Raw genomic sequence first — 14,961 nt, forward strand, 5'->3', positions numbered from 1 at the left:
TAAGATCAGCACTTGGAAAGCGCCCAATAAAAATTATTATTTTCCTCCTCGTGACATATGTACACTGCTTCCACAACTTGATACGAAAACTCCTGACGCCGCGTAGGCAACTCGTCTCCACAGGATAGACACCCAAAGGGCCGCAGCGCCGCCCGCACCCGGAGGGTCTGCGCTCTCTACAACCGCCCCACGCCGTTCCCAGGCGTGCTACCCCGCGCAGTGCGCACGCGCGCCCCCCACCAGGCCCAGCGCCAAGCAGGGAGTAGCGGCTCAGCCCGGCTTGGCCGCTGGCGGAGACGCCCCGGGACCCCGCGCGCCGGGCCTGGGTGCACAAGCCACCTTCCCCAGCTCGCTCCCCGCCGCCACCGAGGCTCTGGACGATCTGGGCCTGGCCTCCCTTCCTCCCCTCCATCCCCGCTCCGGGCCGGCCGGCTTACCCGAGGACGGGGAGCTTGGGGACACAGCGCCCCGCTTGCTGCGTCCAGCCCCGAATCCAGGGACGGGGCAGCGGCCCGGGCAAGGCTCCGGCCCCCCGTAGCACTCCTAGGGCTCCTGGACGGGGGCAGGGCACCCGGGCCGAGGACGAGGAAGTGCCGGGGGCCTGGCCGGGCCGCCCCACCCCTGGGAAAGTCCCCGGAGACTGGCAGGCCACTCGCCCAATCGCGCCGCGCGCTCCGGGCGGGCCCGCGGCCGCCTGGGGTGGGACCGAGCGAGGTAAACACCGGCTGCCTGCGGTTCCGGGGGCCCGCGGTGTCTCTCGTCCCTTCGGCGGCCTTCCCCTCTAGGAGCGACTTCCCTGGGGCCACCGTCCCGGGCCTGCGCGGCGCCTTGCCGCACTCCCAGCGCCGGAAGCCCCTGTCGAAGGCCTGGGGCCACCTTGAAAGCCGGAATTTCAGAGCGGAGGCGAGCCACAGAGACCACCCAGCCCCTTCCTTGTGCCGAGGGGAACACAGGCCAGAACAGGGAGGGGACCTGCCAAAAGGCACGTAAGCATTTGGCCCTAAGCCAGAGCTGGAGCTCAGGCCCCCAGAGTTCCGTCCAGGGCACTCCAGGACTCTTCTTAACAAAGCTATAGAAATTCCGAGCTGAAAAGACCCATAAAGACTCTACCGCGAACATTTTTTGCTCCAGACATTGTAAAGGATTCCCAGACATCGTAAACGCTTTGCTCCAGACATTGTAGATGCTTTGCGTGCATTATTTTCTTCGCACAATCACGCTAGGGAGGTGGGTTTTACTACCTTTTCTTAAATAATATTTGAGTCACAAAAAGGTTAGATGACCTCAGTAAGGGGCTGAATCAAGATTCAAACCCGGGTGGGCAAATCCAGAGGCCGCCTTCCACCCTACCTACTTATATGTGGGCTAGATAATCCCAACAGACTGGGATTTCCTAGACCGGTAAGGAACATAAACTTGCTTTAAGGGTAGGAAAGCTTTTTAAAAGCTTATCCTTTTATTTTTAAAAAGAAAGAAAGCTAAATTTTAATTCCAAAAAGTGGAAGGTCTAACCTTGGAATAAAGAACAGCTCTTTAAACTAAATATAGCTTTATGAAAAACCTATTGCAAAAGACCCATTTCACTGGTACTGTTGAAAACTTAGTCATTGACAGGCCCTCATCCTCAAAAAGAATTAGGGGAAAGGATTTGGGGAACTGTTTAATACACACCCTCATTTTACAGAAGAGAGACCCATCAATCAACTGTGACTTCGCAATAATACACACACAGATACTTGCCCAAATTATATACCTAATCTGGGGATTCTCCTATAAGGCTTTGTAACCTCCTAGGGTTCCTTCAGTTAATTCAACGGTGTTATCAGATCTTCAAAACGATATTCATTCTAGTTTAATTATGAAAAGAATTACACTTATGCCTTGATTCAGAAGGGAGGGAGGGAGGAAGCGATGCAAACTCCAAAGCACCACTGAGTCTCACCACTGGGGGATCCTACAGAGAAACTGGGAATCCTGGCCCTGGTTTACATAGCAGCTCCCAGGCATCGTCTCCACCCATCAGGTCCGCACCTGCCAGTTTTCTTCCTGCTCTTTGTGCCTGTACTTCCCAATTCTCTTCCTGCAGGGCTCTCTTCCTATTCCCAACCCACATCTTCTCCACCCCCACCCTCTACCCACTGAAAACTAAAATCTACCTAAAAATGGCTGGTCTCTAATTACTTGCATTTTGTTTCCACACTATTTCAGCTGTTTTTATAGCATGTCTGGCCTTAGCCGGGCAGACAGTTTCATTTCTCAAAGTGTCCGCTGGGAATTCTCAAGCTTGACATAAAAAAATGGCACTCAGTCATCTTTTTGTCTGATTTCCTAGTTCTGGATCCTTTTTCTTAACAGTTCCAATTTGTGAGAAAACTCATTTATTTATAAAGTCGTGACTGCCCCCACCTCTTCCATTCTTTGAAGTCTTGGTTTGTCTTCAGGACATTCCACCCTGTTAGAGACCATGGAGCCCATAGATAACAAACCCCTATTTGACAGATAGGTAAACTGAGTCCTCTGTCTAGAAAAGGACTTACTCTAGGCCACACACATTGAGTGACACAACCAGGGCCTTGGAATCCAGGGCCTTGGCTCCCAGTCCTGTGTGCTTGGTCCACTGTACCAAGTTGTCTTTACAATGACATGATTTTTCTCACTGCCTTGCAGAAAACACCACTGTCATAAACACAGGCTATGAATTGAGCTAATGGGATTCCAATCCCTGCTCAGCCACTTACTACCTGGGTGGCCCCTCTAAGCCTCAGGCTTCTGTCTGGAAAATGGGGGATAATATACCTATTCCTCATGTGAATCATGAGGATAAATTGGACAATGCAAATAAAGCCCAAGGCTCAGCACACAGTAGGCATTCAAGAAATGATAGTGGTGTCTAGATGTGGGCTGCATGCATTGGGTAGAACTTGGCTCTTAAACTCAGCAATGCAACCTCACCAGGCGCCATCCCACCATACACATCCTCTGTGAGACCCTAGCCTCTAGGAGCATGGCAGGAATGGGAGACAGGCCCCCTAGCCTGGCACTGCCTGCTACCCTGTGGTCTGGAAGGGGATTTCCAAGTCAAGAAGCTGGGCCTGACGCTGGGAGCTGAGTGACTCAGGCAGGTGCAACCTCTTGTTCTTCCAGAGTAATGACAAGCACTCGCACAAAGCCACACCCAGAAGGAGAATCAAACTGCCTTTGTTTTGTTTTGTTTTATTTGGTTTTGTTTTAAAGCACGCAACTTCTCGATCTCCTTTCTGCTACTCCCTCCTCCACCACCCCTACTGAGGTAGCTACAGAGTCAGACCCAAATACACATTTGAAGGTAATAAAAAACATATGAAAAATCCATCTATAACCAACTTAACTCTAGAGCAAGTTCCAGAAGAGGGGTGGAGGCTGCATAATAAAAGCATTAAAAGGTAACATGTATGGAGTATTTGCTGTGTGCTATCTCCGCGCTTTTATTCATAATTTGCCTCCCAACCAGCTTATGAGGTCGGCACCATTATCATCCACATTTCACAGATGAAACTGAAGCTTTGAGGTATTAGATGACTTGCCCAAGGTCTTACAGCACAGCAAGTAACCGGAGCTTGAAGATCCAGGCTCTTAAACGCTTAACACTCTTAAGCATCATGCTCCAAAGTCTTGCCAGCTAGCAAGACATAGAACTCAGAGTGCCAGGCTTGAAGGGTCTTTAGAAATGATCAACCCAGGCAGGGCATGCCGTGGCTCACGCCTGTAATCCCAACACTCTGGGAGGCTGAGGCGGGTGGATCACCTGAGGTCAGGAGTTCAAGACCAGCCTGGCCAACATGGTGAAACCCCGTCTCTACTAAAAATACAAATATTAGCCAGGTGTGGTGGTGGGCGCCTGTAATCCCAGCTACTCAGGAGGCTGAGGCAGGAGAATCACTTGAACCCAGGAGGTGGAGGTTGCAATGAGCCAAGATCGCGCCATTGCACTCCAGCCTGGGGACAAGAGCAAGACTTCGTCTCAAAAAAAAAAAAAAAGAAAGAAAGAAATGATCAACCCAGTCTTTTCATTGTAGGGCTGGAGCCACACCAAGGGCCAGAGAGCGGCAGGGACTTGCGGGAGGTCTTACGTTGAGTTTGTGATTCATACATAGGACAGAACCCAAGTATCCTTCTCCCAGCACAGTGCTGTTTCCACATACCCCACTGATAGGAAATGGAGCATCTAAATCAAACAAGAACATTCCTCATTGCATTAGGAGAATGAGTGAATCAGGGCCTTGGCTAGGGGAGAATGGAACTCGGGAGCAGCTAATGAACTAGGAAAAGAGCAGCCCTGGGTCCCTTCCTTAGATCCATAACCTGAGGCAATCTCAGGAGTGTAAGACCCTCCAGTGGATTCTAGGTACTTTTTGGTGCTGGGTGTATGTGTATGTTAAAGAGAGATTTTGGTGATAGTTAAATGAGAATGCATATCAAGCACATGATATTGACTAAAATTGTTCTAGGCAATTGTGGCAGTTTTTGGTAAAAAGTAAATAAATGAGCAGGGTCCATGGTCCCAGCTTCTCTCCTCAGCCTAAGAAGACATTTTTAATTCTCTCTATCCAGCTCCCAAATACCTGCATGAGGAGGTAGTTGTATCTTCAGAGGTTTTCACAGTCATTCAGCACCTTAAGGTGAATGAAACCATTTCATACCCACAACTTGCCCATTTCCCAAGAGACCGTCACGCAGAGGATAAGGTGTGGGTTCTGGCCTCTGGGCTTAAATCACAGCCCTGCCACTTACAACTCTGTGCCTTGGTTTCTTTATCAATGACATGAAGGCTGTAACTGTGCCCAATTCAGAGGGTGGTGACAATCAAATGCCACAAGGCTTGGCCTCAGTGAAAGGTAGCGATGATCATTATGATCATCAATTCTATGAGGCAGCAGGGATTGCTTCTCTCCTTTTTCCAGGAGGACCCCAAGGCCTGGAGCTGGGGAGCAGCTTGCCCTAGACATCAGACTGTCTTCTGAGGAGCTGGGCCTGGAAGGCATTGCTGCTGACTTTTCTCCAGGCTCTTTCCCCTTTTCTTCCTTCTCTATCCCAACTATTTTCCCTGTGTCCCTGGGCTGGCCTGTTACACTTCAGTTTCTAGGGCACCACTGGAGGAGAGGAAAGGGCAAAGTGACACTGGGGGAAATTCCCAGCCTCGTCACATACGTGGCCTAGCCAGGCCCCTCCCACAGTTCCTAGGAGCCCTGGGTCTCCCCACTCCAGCGTCTCTCCCCCTGGCCTCTCCGTCTCCAGGTCAGGGTGTCAAGCTGGATCTGGGCTTGCATCCAGGGTTGCCCCTTGTCATCCTCCTGGAAGTGGGAACAGGTCAGCCAGGCCCAGCCCGGCCCAGCCTCTCAGGAAGTTAGACCCACAAAACCGGAGCATTTCCTAATCCCGGGAAGCCCTAACAGGGCCCTGAGAGCAATCCTCTTTCAGTCCCACCCACCTTCCTCCCTGTCCTCTCCCACACCCTCTTCTTCTATGGCCCCTCCCCGCTCTCCCTCCATTCCTCTGTAGCCTAGAAGCCACCGTCAGACTTGGCCTCTGTTCCTTGCCTCTTCTAGCCAGGGACTTCCCTAGGCTGTGAAAAGATGCCTGGGGAGGGGATGAAGAGGGCCGTTTGGATGAACTGGCCTTTCTTCATCATTCCTGGTTCCAGAGTTTCCTCATTCTTATGGTAACATTTATGGACCACTGAGGATACAGGAGTGGACCAATCAGACCCGCTTCCTGCTCTCTCAGAGCTCACAGACTCTCAGGAGCCATATGGGGCTATTTAAATAAGTAGAATTAAACTAAAATTAAATAGAATTTTAGTCCAGATTTTCTAAGTGATCAAAGAGGAAGCTGCGTCAGCTGTGTCTGCCTGCCCTTGGCCCACTCCCTGTGCCCTGGGCTCTCTGTTACAGGTTCCACCACAAAAGAGTCCAGCGGCCCTAGAAGCAGAGCAGGCAGGAGAGAAGCAAGAGATCCTTTTGCTCCAGTGTTAAGGAGGGTCTCAGCCTCCACTATGTTCCCCTGGAGGCAGCGCCGATTCTTGGCCTCTTCCTATCTAGCTGTAGACTTCTAAAGTGCCCAACACACACTTGTACCCTCTCCATCAAAAATTCACTGTACACACAGATACACACACAAATACACACAGTCACCAACTTACACCCACACAGAAAGACACATACACGCTTCAGGGATCTGACACAACACAGGCACACATTCTCACACACACAAACACCCACATCCATATTCACACTTGCATACCTCCCTTTTCTTGAGGGAATAAGACAAAAATAGGCTTTGCTTTTCCCTTTGGAAAAGCTAGTAACAACTAGAGAGAAAAAGACTGGCCAAGAAGGCAAGGCCAGAAGAAGAGGGGCAGGAAGAAGGAACGAGATGGGGGAGAGAAGACAGTGGAGAAGGAGGCTGGGTGAGGAGCAGGGGCTGGGAGCCCAAGACCTGGGTGGGAAGAGCAAGCTAGGCTGAGAGCAGCAGACCCTGGCTGGCAGGACATGGGAGGCCAGGTGGCTCTTGGCACAGAGCTGAGGGTGTCTGCTTGCCCCAGCACCCTTGTGCGGTGGGTCCTTTCCCCTGTCCTGGCCCACCGGCCCCCATCTAGTCACTCACCTGGGGAAGGGCAGGAGAATACGAGGGTGTGTGCACCAGGGGCGGCTGTCCCTATGAAGGCTCCTCGGCTCACTGTGCTTCTGCAGGAAGGAGGGCTGGGCTGAGCTGACTATTAGGCAGGAGGGGAATTCCCCGAGATGGAGGAGCCGCCACCAGGCAGCCCCGCAAGGCCCAGCTGAGGCCCCATCCTGCCCGCTGGCAGAGCAGAGGGCCCTTATTTGTCAGCCTCCACCTGTCACTTCCCAGACTGGCTGTCCCGTGCTGTGAATTCCAGGGAGTTGGGGTTGGGGGGGATCTGGGGAGAAGAGTTGGAAGCCTGATGCTTCCTCAGCTGGGCTGGGAAAAGGCACCCGAGAATGGGCTGGGGCAACCTGGCCTGGCCTCCCTAGATTGTCCTGAAGACCTCCATTTCCTCCTTCGCCTAAGGTGGGGGATTCCAGTGCTCAGGGCCCTGAGGAAACTGCCAGATGCCCAGCCCACATCCTCCCACCCCGTTCCTATCCTACCTGTTGCCACTTACTCTCTGAGGCTTCTCCATCCATAGTGAAGAAGGGGCCCACTCCTTCCTTGGTGCATGCCGAGTCACATTTGGATGTCAAGTAAGGCCTTAGAAACCGCAGCCCAAGGAATTCTGCACTGACCAGCTGGAGATCCTGAACAAGTCACCTCATCATCCTGAGCCCTAGTGATCTCCTGCTTAATGAGTCCTGCTTTGCCTGACTCCTGCCATTTAATGGTAATTAAAATAAAATGATGGGCCGGCACCGTGGCTCACGCCTATTAATCTTGGCACTATGTGAGGCCTGAGGCAGGCTTAAGCCTAGGAGTTTGAGACCAGCCTGTGCAACATGGTAAAAACACTGTCTCCACAAAAAATACAAAAACTAGCTGGGTGTGGTGGCACTTGCCTGTAGTCCCAGCTACTCGGGAGGCTGAGGTGGGAGAATTGCTTGAGCCCAGGAGGTTGAGGCTGCAGTGAACCATTATGGCGCCACTGCACTCCAGCCTGGGCAACAGAGTGAGACCCTGTCTCAAAAATGATAATAAATTTAGAAATAAAAATAATAGTTTGTAGACATCCTTTGTAAACTACTGACTGCTTTACAAACATAAAGTCTTTGTTCCTTATCCCCTGAAAATATGCCTGGGGAGGGGATGAAGAGGGCCGTTTGGATGAGGTGTGGCCTTTCTTCATCATTCCTGGTTCCAGAGTTTCCTCATTCTTATGGTAACATTTATGGACCACTGAGGATACAAGAGTGGACTAATCAGACCCGCTTCCTGCCTTCTCAGAGTTCACAGACTCTGAGGAGCCATATGGGGCTATTTAAATATAAATTAAGTAGATTAAAATTAAATAGAATTAACAGTTCAATTCCTCAGTAGCACAAGCTGCATTTCGAGTGCTCAACAGCCACATGCACCTACTACATTAGACTACATGCATGTATGACATTTCCATTATTATAGAAAGTTCTATTGGATAGCACTGCTCTGGGGGCTACAGGTAAATGAGGAGGAGATTACAATAAAGTACAGGAAAGATGTGTTTTGGCAGGAGAAATGCAGGGGGCTTTGGGAGCCTGGACAAAAGAGTATCTGGTCAGGATATGGGGATCTGGGAAGTCTTCCTGGAGGAAGTGACACCTAAACTGAGACCTGAAAGTAGCCAAGAAAGAAGATAAGGAAGAGTGTTCTCCACAAAGGGAATAGAATATTCAAAGAGAATAGAGAATATATTCTGAGAACAGAAAGAGAAGAGAGAATATATTCCATGAACTGTTCAGTCTGAGTAGACCAAGGGATTTGAGGCAGACTGGGGGAAGTGACAGAGGTAGACCTGGAGAAATAAACAGGTCCAGGTCACAAGGGGCCACATGCAGCCTCTGCAGGAGGAGAGGAGCAATAAGAGGTGGGGGCGGAGAAGGGTCCATTGAATCCCATCCAACTGCATCTGTGCCCTTCAGATCAGGATTACACGGGGATGCTAAATCTCCTAGCCCAATGGCCTCACTTTACAGACAAGGAAGTGGAGGCCAGACAGGGGAAATAAATTTCCAAGTGAGTAAATAGAGGGACTTCCTGACTCCTAGTCCAGTGCTCTTTCCCACACCACACTCAGCCCCTCAGTGGCACTGCCACTTTTCAAGAGCTCGATTGCCACACGTGGCAAGCAGCTACCATGCCAGACTGCACAGATATTTCCATCATCACAGAAAGTGCAGTTGTATGAATGATACTGACCCTTGAGCTAGACCAGGGGCAAAAAGATGATGTTCTCCTGTACATAGACCCTTTTCTCTGCAGGGGGTGAAAATATGTGTAGCTCAGCCCTAATGTTCCTGGATTACAATTTTCCCCCTATATACAATATTTGCACTTTAAAGTCCACTATAATTACATATTCTCTGTAAATTCACAGAGCCTGGCTTAGACCAGTTCCTGCCCATGGAATCTTAGATGGCAAAGGGACCTTGAAGGGCTAAGGACGTTCAAGGAGCTGGAGCGACATGAGCTGGGATTTCCAGTTAGAATACCTGGCTGGCACATCCTATGAAGAGAATGGCTCTGAGCTCTCCCTGCTGAAATGCTGACAGCAATCAGTTTCTCTCACCTCTTCCCCCTTCCAGCCATGCATGGATTCCCTGAAGCTGCCTTCTCTGTTCAGGCCAGGGGATAGACACTGAGGAAGAAGAGGCCCTCAGACTGGGAATCAGTAGAGCTGACTTTGAATCCTGGCTCTGCTGTATGGCCCTAGGCAAGTTTTGGTCCTCAGCTTCCCCTTCTATAATGTAAAATATCAGGCTAGATGACCACTAAGGGACCTCCCATTCTGACATGTTAAGGAAGTCCAAAAGTTCAGAGGAAGGAGAAATCAGGATGAATAAAGGCGGATTGCCATTAGGCGGTTAGGAAATAAAAACACTAATAGCTAATATTTAAGCTTATCATATGCCAGGCACAGTACTCAGTGCTCTTAGATGAATTATTTCATGCATCTCTCTTAAGAACTGTATAAGACTGATATACTATTCTGCAAAAGAAGAAATGAGGCTCCTAGTGGGTTAAGACAACTGCTAATAAATGGCACAAGTAGAGTTCAAATATAAGTAATGTCTCCCGTGAGGATGTGGAGGAGATGAGACCTATACTGGATCTTAAAAGAGGGCAAAATTTGGGTATACACAAGGAAACTGTCACAGGACCACTCTTTTGATACGGAATTATCCAGCCCTACCTCATCCATTTTGACATCTCTGGTCTTGCTGCTGATGTTGTAGGGACAGGACTGAGCCAGTCTCATAAAAGCTATTTGATACTTACTTAGGGAATGAATGAACTTGACTCTGTGAGTTTCCTGGTTCATCAATTCTGTTGAAAGTTCCCCAAGAATAGAAACTCTTCATGCCATTAGGACCTAGCCCAGGATTTGGCAGATTTCTGGACCCCATCATAGAGCTAAGAAATCAGACTCTCTAACGAGGGGATCCCTAAAGGCAGCAGTTTAATTAAACTCCCTGATACTCCCCGATACTCCCCGTAGAGTTTGAGAAGCCAAAACTCTCAGCTGGATCTTCCAAATCCAAAGTGAGAATTATCTGCTCACATATAGGCAGCTAGGTAGAACTCACTGTCAGGAACTCACTGGTAGATACTGAGGATGCGTTTACTTCTCTGAGTCACCCAAGCATCAAATCTATGATTTTTGCAAAGTCCCACTCAAGCCAATGAAGTTACCTGCTTATCTGAACTTTGAAGACAGGCAGTTAGAAGAGGTCATAGAATCATAGTTTTTCAGATGTCTACTGGCTCAACAGCCTACCCAGAACCAGCACATCCTCCCCCAACCATTGGCAAGTGGTCAGCCAAGTTTTGCCACCCTATTTCAATGATGGGGAGCTCACTACCTTACAGGTAGCCCATTGCATTCTCAGTCGGCTCTCATTTAAAGCTCAGATCTGCCTTCTTCTCCTTTGGATGGGTGCCTATCAATGGCTGACAAATTCTTCCAAGGCCCTTCATGATCTAGCTTCTACTTACCATCCCTTCCCGCTCTAACCACCCCTAAGCATTCCTCAAATGTGCCAGCTCCTTTCTGCTTCTTCTTCTTTTTATTTTTTTTTTTTTTGAGACAGAGTCTCACCCTGTCGCCCAGGCTGGAGTGCAATGGTACAATCTCGGCTTACTGCAACCTCCGCCTCCCAGGTTCAAGCAATTCTCCTACCTCAACCTCCTGAGCAGCTGGGATTACAGGTGCGTGCCACAACTCCCAGCTAATGTTTTGTATCTTTAGTAGAGACAGGGTTTCACCATGTTAGCCGGGCTGGTCTTGAACTCCTGAACTCGTGATCCACCCGCCTCGACCTCCCAAAGTGCTGGGGTTACAGGCGTGAGCCACCGTGCCTGGTCTTCCTTTTTGCTTCTTTTGGCTTCCTTGCATATTCCTTGGCCCCTGGCTGCAGCACCTCCCCTCCACTGTGCCTTTCACCTGGCCAATGCCTGCTTATTTTCTCTGTCTCAACTTAAGTGTGCCTCTTCTGGGAAGTTTCCCTGACCTTCCCCACTCCTGCACTCCCCTCCAGACCACAGCAGGCCCCTTGTTCTGCATTTTCAAGCCCTGCCTTTCTCTCTCTCTGCAACTAGTTGTAATAAAATGATTATTGGTGCAGTTAATTTAGCATCTGATGAGAAAAATGGTTTTCAGCCAGGGATGATTTTGGCCCCCACAGGGCAACTGGCAATATCTGAAGACATTTTTCATTGTCACAACTGAGGAGGGAGTATACTACTGACATTTATTGGACAGAAGGCAGGGATGCTGCCAAGCAGCCTACCATGCACAGGACAGATCCCCATAACAAAAAATGACCCAACCCAACACATCAACAGTGTTCTCAACATGTCCATAGAGAAAACTCGTTTTGGAGTATAAGCCCCATGTGGTCAGGGACTATTTCTTCTTTGATTGTCACAATTTCACCAGTGCCTAGCAAACAGCAGGCAATCCATGAATGCTTGTGGAGGGAAGAAGAGAAGGAGAAGGAAGTGGGTCATAGAATGAAATGCTAGAACCCCATCGAGGGGGGTGATGTGTACAGTGTCCCCGACGTTGGGGAGAGTAGAGGACTGGGGATACACATGTAAAGAGAGCTGAGACTGGGCAGACAGACCTCGGGAGCCTTGAACACTGGGCTAAAGAATGTCGCCTCTGGCCGGGCACAGTGAGTCATGCCTGTAATCCCAGCACTTTGGGAGTCCGAGGCAGGCAGATCACAAGGTCAGGAGATCGAGACCATCCTGGCTAACACGGTGAAACCCCATCTCTACTAAAAAATACAAAAAATTAGCCGGGTGCGGTGGCGGGCACCTGTAGTCCCAGCTACTCGGGAGGCTGAGGCAGGAGAATGGCGTGAACCCGGGAGGTGGAGTTTGCAGTGAGCCAAGATCGTGCCACTGCACTCCAGCCTGGGTGACAGAGCAAGACTCCGTCTCAAAAAAAAAAAAAGAAAAAAGAAAAGAATGTCGCCTCCATTCTATAAGCAATGGGGGGGGGGGGCGCATAGGAGTCTTTCCACTAACATTAACAAAATACTTTTGTGGCCAAAAATGTTCTGATCAAACTGGCACTTCAGGAAGAGATCTGGGGACAGTGAGAAATACGTCTTGAGAAAGGGGATTTGACTTGTTAGTGATAGAGGCAGGTGTTAAATCCACAAATATCCCTCCTTATTTTACTGATGCACATGGGGTAACCCTGGTTGCAAACAGCTGTCTGAAGAGCTGGCAGCACCCTTTTTCAGACTGTGAGTAAATGGACAGGCCTCAAACTTTGAGGCCACAGGCATCTGCTTGGTGCCAGGCCAGCCACTATTACTGACTCACCATATGGCCTCATCAGTACTTCCTCTCGCCATCCCTCACCTTCCTCATCTGTAAAAGGGAGTAAATTCTCTTCACCCATTTATAACACTGAGCACAGCTGTGTGCACAAAAGGGCATCCATTAGGATAATTTCATAGAGAATATTATAGACCATGGGTTTGTTAACTTTAGTGTCCTTTGACCAGGGGTTCGCAATCCTGACTGCACATTTAAATCACCTGCAATCCTGACTGCACATTTAAATCACCTGGGGATCTTTCTAAACACGCGGACCCTCCAGGCCCCACCCCAGATTAATTAAACCAGAATCTCCGGGGGTGTGGCCTGGGCATGGGTATTGATAAAGCTCCCCCAGGTGATTTTGAGATGCAAAGTTGTGACCACTGACCTAGAAGCTGCTTTTTTTTTTTTTTGAGACAAATCTGCCCTTTTAACAGCTGGTTCTGATTCAGGTGATCCCAGGAACTTACTGTCGTTGAGTCACTGTGGTCTCCCAACTTGTTCCTTCTTTTTGTATCAGGAAGGTGACTTCTCAATACCAGGATAGGGACAACAAATTTCAGAATGTAGAGAGAATCCCTCTTTCGGGGAGTCACAGAACAGTATGTATGATGGGTGTGAAAGGAAAAGTTAAAACGCAAGCTAAGCCACTAAGTGGAGAGGAGGTATGTGTCATTCTATCAGCATTTGAAAAATGGGATTCAGGGAGGCCTTTTGCAAAATTGTGCTTTCCAAGGAAACTAATACAGGGTGGCATGTTGCAAGATTCTTGTCAAAGGAAGGGGATCCAAGTACAGATGTTGCAACACTGTGCTGCCAAAGGAAGTGGAAGCAAAGGAAGTGGCTTCTTAGTCTATCAGATCTGGAACAAAGCTTAGAGATTATCTTGACCAATCTTCTCACTGGATAGAAGGGGAAACTAAGGTTCAGAGAAGGGAAGGCTTGTGCCCAGGGGCAGCCAGGGAGTTACTGATGAGTTCAAATTGCAATCCAGGCTTCCTATCCACCACCTACCTGCTGCCCTTTCCTCTTCTCCCTGAATATCTATCCCCTCACTGTTTTGCTCTGGGTCCCTAGCCCAGCCTCCACATCCCCACCCTCTGGACAGTGCCCAAGGTCAAAGGATGAGCCTAAATCTGTGTGCCAGGATCTAAACCCACCAGATGACAGGGGCGAAAGCCAGCGGTGGCAGTGGCAAGCCGGAGAGGAAGGAGCAGTGTCTGATGATGTGGCCTGACCTCAGAAAGGAAACCTGGTTGGTCACCAGGGGGAATTTCCCCGGGTGAGGTCTCACGTCTATGCAAATATTGCACTGCAATTAACCTGGACCCTGGGATGGGAGAGAGAAAAGAGGAGAGGACACTGGGAAAGACAGAAGGGCAGGTAATAGGACCTGAACATTCCCAGGGTACCAGGCACTGTGCTAGGCTCCTCATGAAATTAATCTCATTTTGCCTCTAAAGTATCCTCCAATGTAGGAAAATTGAGTCTGAGGCCCAGTGAGAGGGTGCGTTGCCCAAGCAAAATCAGCACATTCCTACCCCAACGGGATACCAGGCCTCAGGGAGAAGTGATGATGGTGACGATAGATTTGGCGCTGCGGCTGCTGACAAAGGTGACAGTAATGAGGCTTGAGTCCGGGACTCTAGCAAGGTTTCATTTTAGGTTTCCATCTCACTCAACCAGGGGAGTTTTATCCTGGGAACGGCCAAAGGCAGCAGGAAGGTAGTGACCCTGACTCACCTTGGGCAAATCCCAGCACTCTGGTTTTTCAAAGCCCTGTGGGGGCAAGGGATGTGGTAGCTGGCACAGTTAACCCCTTCACCACCAGTTTCTAGAATGCTCCTGGAAAAGTGAACAGAATGGGATCCATACTTTTGAAGGAGAATCAATTTTTCTCTGCTACCTCTTTAAATTTCACTCGCTGTGCGCCTCACCGTATCCAGAAAGCCTTCCCCGGGGACTTCACTCGTTTTCCAAGGCTTGATCTCATTTACTGCCTGGTTCTCCAAGGAGCTAGTCTTGTCTCCCAGAATAGGATGCCAAGTAGGATCAGAGTTCAAGTCAGGGCTGTTGGGCTCGAAGTCTGCCCTCCACACAGCCTGGTTGGTTGTCCTCCTCTGATGGGCTTACACAACAACAAGCAGACTCCTGATTTCTGGAGGTGTGTGGGGCACACTAAGGCTATGCACTAAGAAAAGTGTGAGTGTGCACATGCCCCAGTGTGTGTGAAGAACAAGTTAGGATACATATGCGAGGTGTTTCCCACGTGCACAGCAACACACACACACACACACACACACACATAATGTCTGTATTTTTGGTTGTTATCAGCAAACTAAAAAAAAATTATTTTCTCTGTATGGTCAACAATGTGTGTCTCTGTATGTGTTACCAGCAGAATACCTTACACTCCTTTGTATTACCAGCAATGTG

The 14,961-nt window shown here is 49.4% G+C and overlaps 1 protein-coding gene across 29 annotated transcripts in view, besides 13 other annotated features; it reads right to left on the bottom strand.

Annotated features, from left to right (window-relative positions):
- TNIP1 (TNFAIP3 interacting protein 1) overlaps window positions 1-7,243 on the bottom strand; it is a 57,743-nt gene extending 50,500 nt beyond the window's left edge. For 17 of the 29 annotated variants that reach the window (XM_047416617.1, NM_001437747.1, NM_001364486.2 and 14 more), the window contains exon 1: window positions 438-592. The gene's annotated coding sequence lies outside the window, so the exon portion shown is untranslated. Of the gene's footprint in view, window positions 1-437; window positions 593-6,642; window positions 6,725-7,148 lie in introns of those variants that run through there. The other 12 variants (XM_047416625.1, NM_001437739.1, NM_001437740.1 and 9 more) reach the window with 2 other exon arrangements.
- Window positions 104-892: a transcriptional cis regulatory region, noted in NCBI's record as "chr5:150460107-150460895 region (GRCh37/hg19 assembly coordinates) targeted for CRISPR interference". NCBI's record gives its function as "negatively regulates IL6ST gene expression in Jurkat T cells {active_cell/tissue: Jurkat}" and the evidence as "EXISTENCE:mutant phenotype evidence [ECO:0000015][PMID:33828297]".
- Window positions 104-1,412: a biological region, named in NCBI's record as "H3K27ac hESC enhancer GRCh37_chr5:150460705-150461415". NCBI's record gives its function as "regulatory_interactions: IL6ST".
- Window positions 157-826: a silencer, noted in NCBI's record as "silent region_16519". NCBI's record gives its function as "represses an Ori minimal core promoter by ATAC-STARR-seq in GM12878 lymphoblastoid cells {active_cell/tissue: GM12878}" and the evidence as "EXISTENCE:reporter gene assay evidence [ECO:0000049][PMID:35858748]".
- Window positions 392-1,161: a transcriptional cis regulatory region, noted in NCBI's record as "chr5:150460395-150461164 region (GRCh37/hg19 assembly coordinates) targeted for CRISPR interference". NCBI's record gives its function as "negatively regulates IL6ST gene expression in GM12878 lymphoblastoid cells {active_cell/tissue: GM12878}" and the evidence as "EXISTENCE:mutant phenotype evidence [ECO:0000015][PMID:33828297]".
- Window positions 702-1,412: an enhancer, noted in NCBI's record as "H3K27ac hESC enhancer chr5:150460705-150461415 (GRCh37/hg19 assembly coordinates)". NCBI's record gives its function as "activates a minimal SCP1, AML or CMV promoter by ChIP-STARR-seq in naive H9 embryonic stem cells {active_cell/tissue: H9 hESC(naive)}" and the evidence as "EXISTENCE:reporter gene assay evidence [ECO:0000049][PMID:30033119]".
- Window positions 1,127-1,186: an enhancer, noted in NCBI's record as "active region_23431". NCBI's record gives its function as "activates an Ori minimal core promoter by ATAC-STARR-seq in GM12878 lymphoblastoid cells {active_cell/tissue: GM12878}" and the evidence as "EXISTENCE:reporter gene assay evidence [ECO:0000049][PMID:35858748]".
- Window positions 2,999-3,108: an enhancer, noted in NCBI's record as "active region_23432". NCBI's record gives its function as "activates an Ori minimal core promoter by ATAC-STARR-seq in GM12878 lymphoblastoid cells {active_cell/tissue: GM12878}" and the evidence as "EXISTENCE:reporter gene assay evidence [ECO:0000049][PMID:35858748]".
- Window positions 3,229-3,338: an enhancer, noted in NCBI's record as "active region_23433". NCBI's record gives its function as "activates an Ori minimal core promoter by ATAC-STARR-seq in GM12878 lymphoblastoid cells {active_cell/tissue: GM12878}" and the evidence as "EXISTENCE:reporter gene assay evidence [ECO:0000049][PMID:35858748]".
- Window positions 4,927-5,096: an enhancer, noted in NCBI's record as "active region_23434". NCBI's record gives its function as "activates an Ori minimal core promoter by ATAC-STARR-seq in GM12878 lymphoblastoid cells {active_cell/tissue: GM12878}" and the evidence as "EXISTENCE:reporter gene assay evidence [ECO:0000049][PMID:35858748]".
- Window positions 6,267-6,376: an enhancer, noted in NCBI's record as "active region_23435". NCBI's record gives its function as "activates an Ori minimal core promoter by ATAC-STARR-seq in GM12878 lymphoblastoid cells {active_cell/tissue: GM12878}" and the evidence as "EXISTENCE:reporter gene assay evidence [ECO:0000049][PMID:35858748]".
- Window positions 13,553-13,962: an enhancer, noted in NCBI's record as "active region_23436". NCBI's record gives its function as "activates an Ori minimal core promoter by ATAC-STARR-seq in GM12878 lymphoblastoid cells {active_cell/tissue: GM12878}" and the evidence as "EXISTENCE:reporter gene assay evidence [ECO:0000049][PMID:35858748]".
- Window positions 13,553-14,796: a biological region, named in NCBI's record as "BRD4-independent group 4 enhancer GRCh37_chr5:150473600-150474799".
- Window positions 13,597-14,796: an enhancer, noted in NCBI's record as "BRD4-independent group 4 enhancer chr5:150473600-150474799 (GRCh37/hg19 assembly coordinates)". NCBI's record gives its function as "activates an origin of replication core promoter dependent on BRD2, P300/CBP, MED14 and CDK7 cofactors, and independent of BRD4, by STARR-seq in HCT116 cells {active_cell/tissue: HCT116}" and the evidence as "EXISTENCE:reporter gene assay evidence [ECO:0000049][PMID:35650434]".

Source organism: Homo sapiens, chromosome 5, assembly GCF_000001405.40.
Source record: "Homo sapiens chromosome 5, GRCh38.p14 Primary Assembly".
In the NCBI taxonomy this organism is placed as follows: domain Eukaryota; kingdom Metazoa; phylum Chordata; class Mammalia; order Primates; family Hominidae; genus Homo; species Homo sapiens.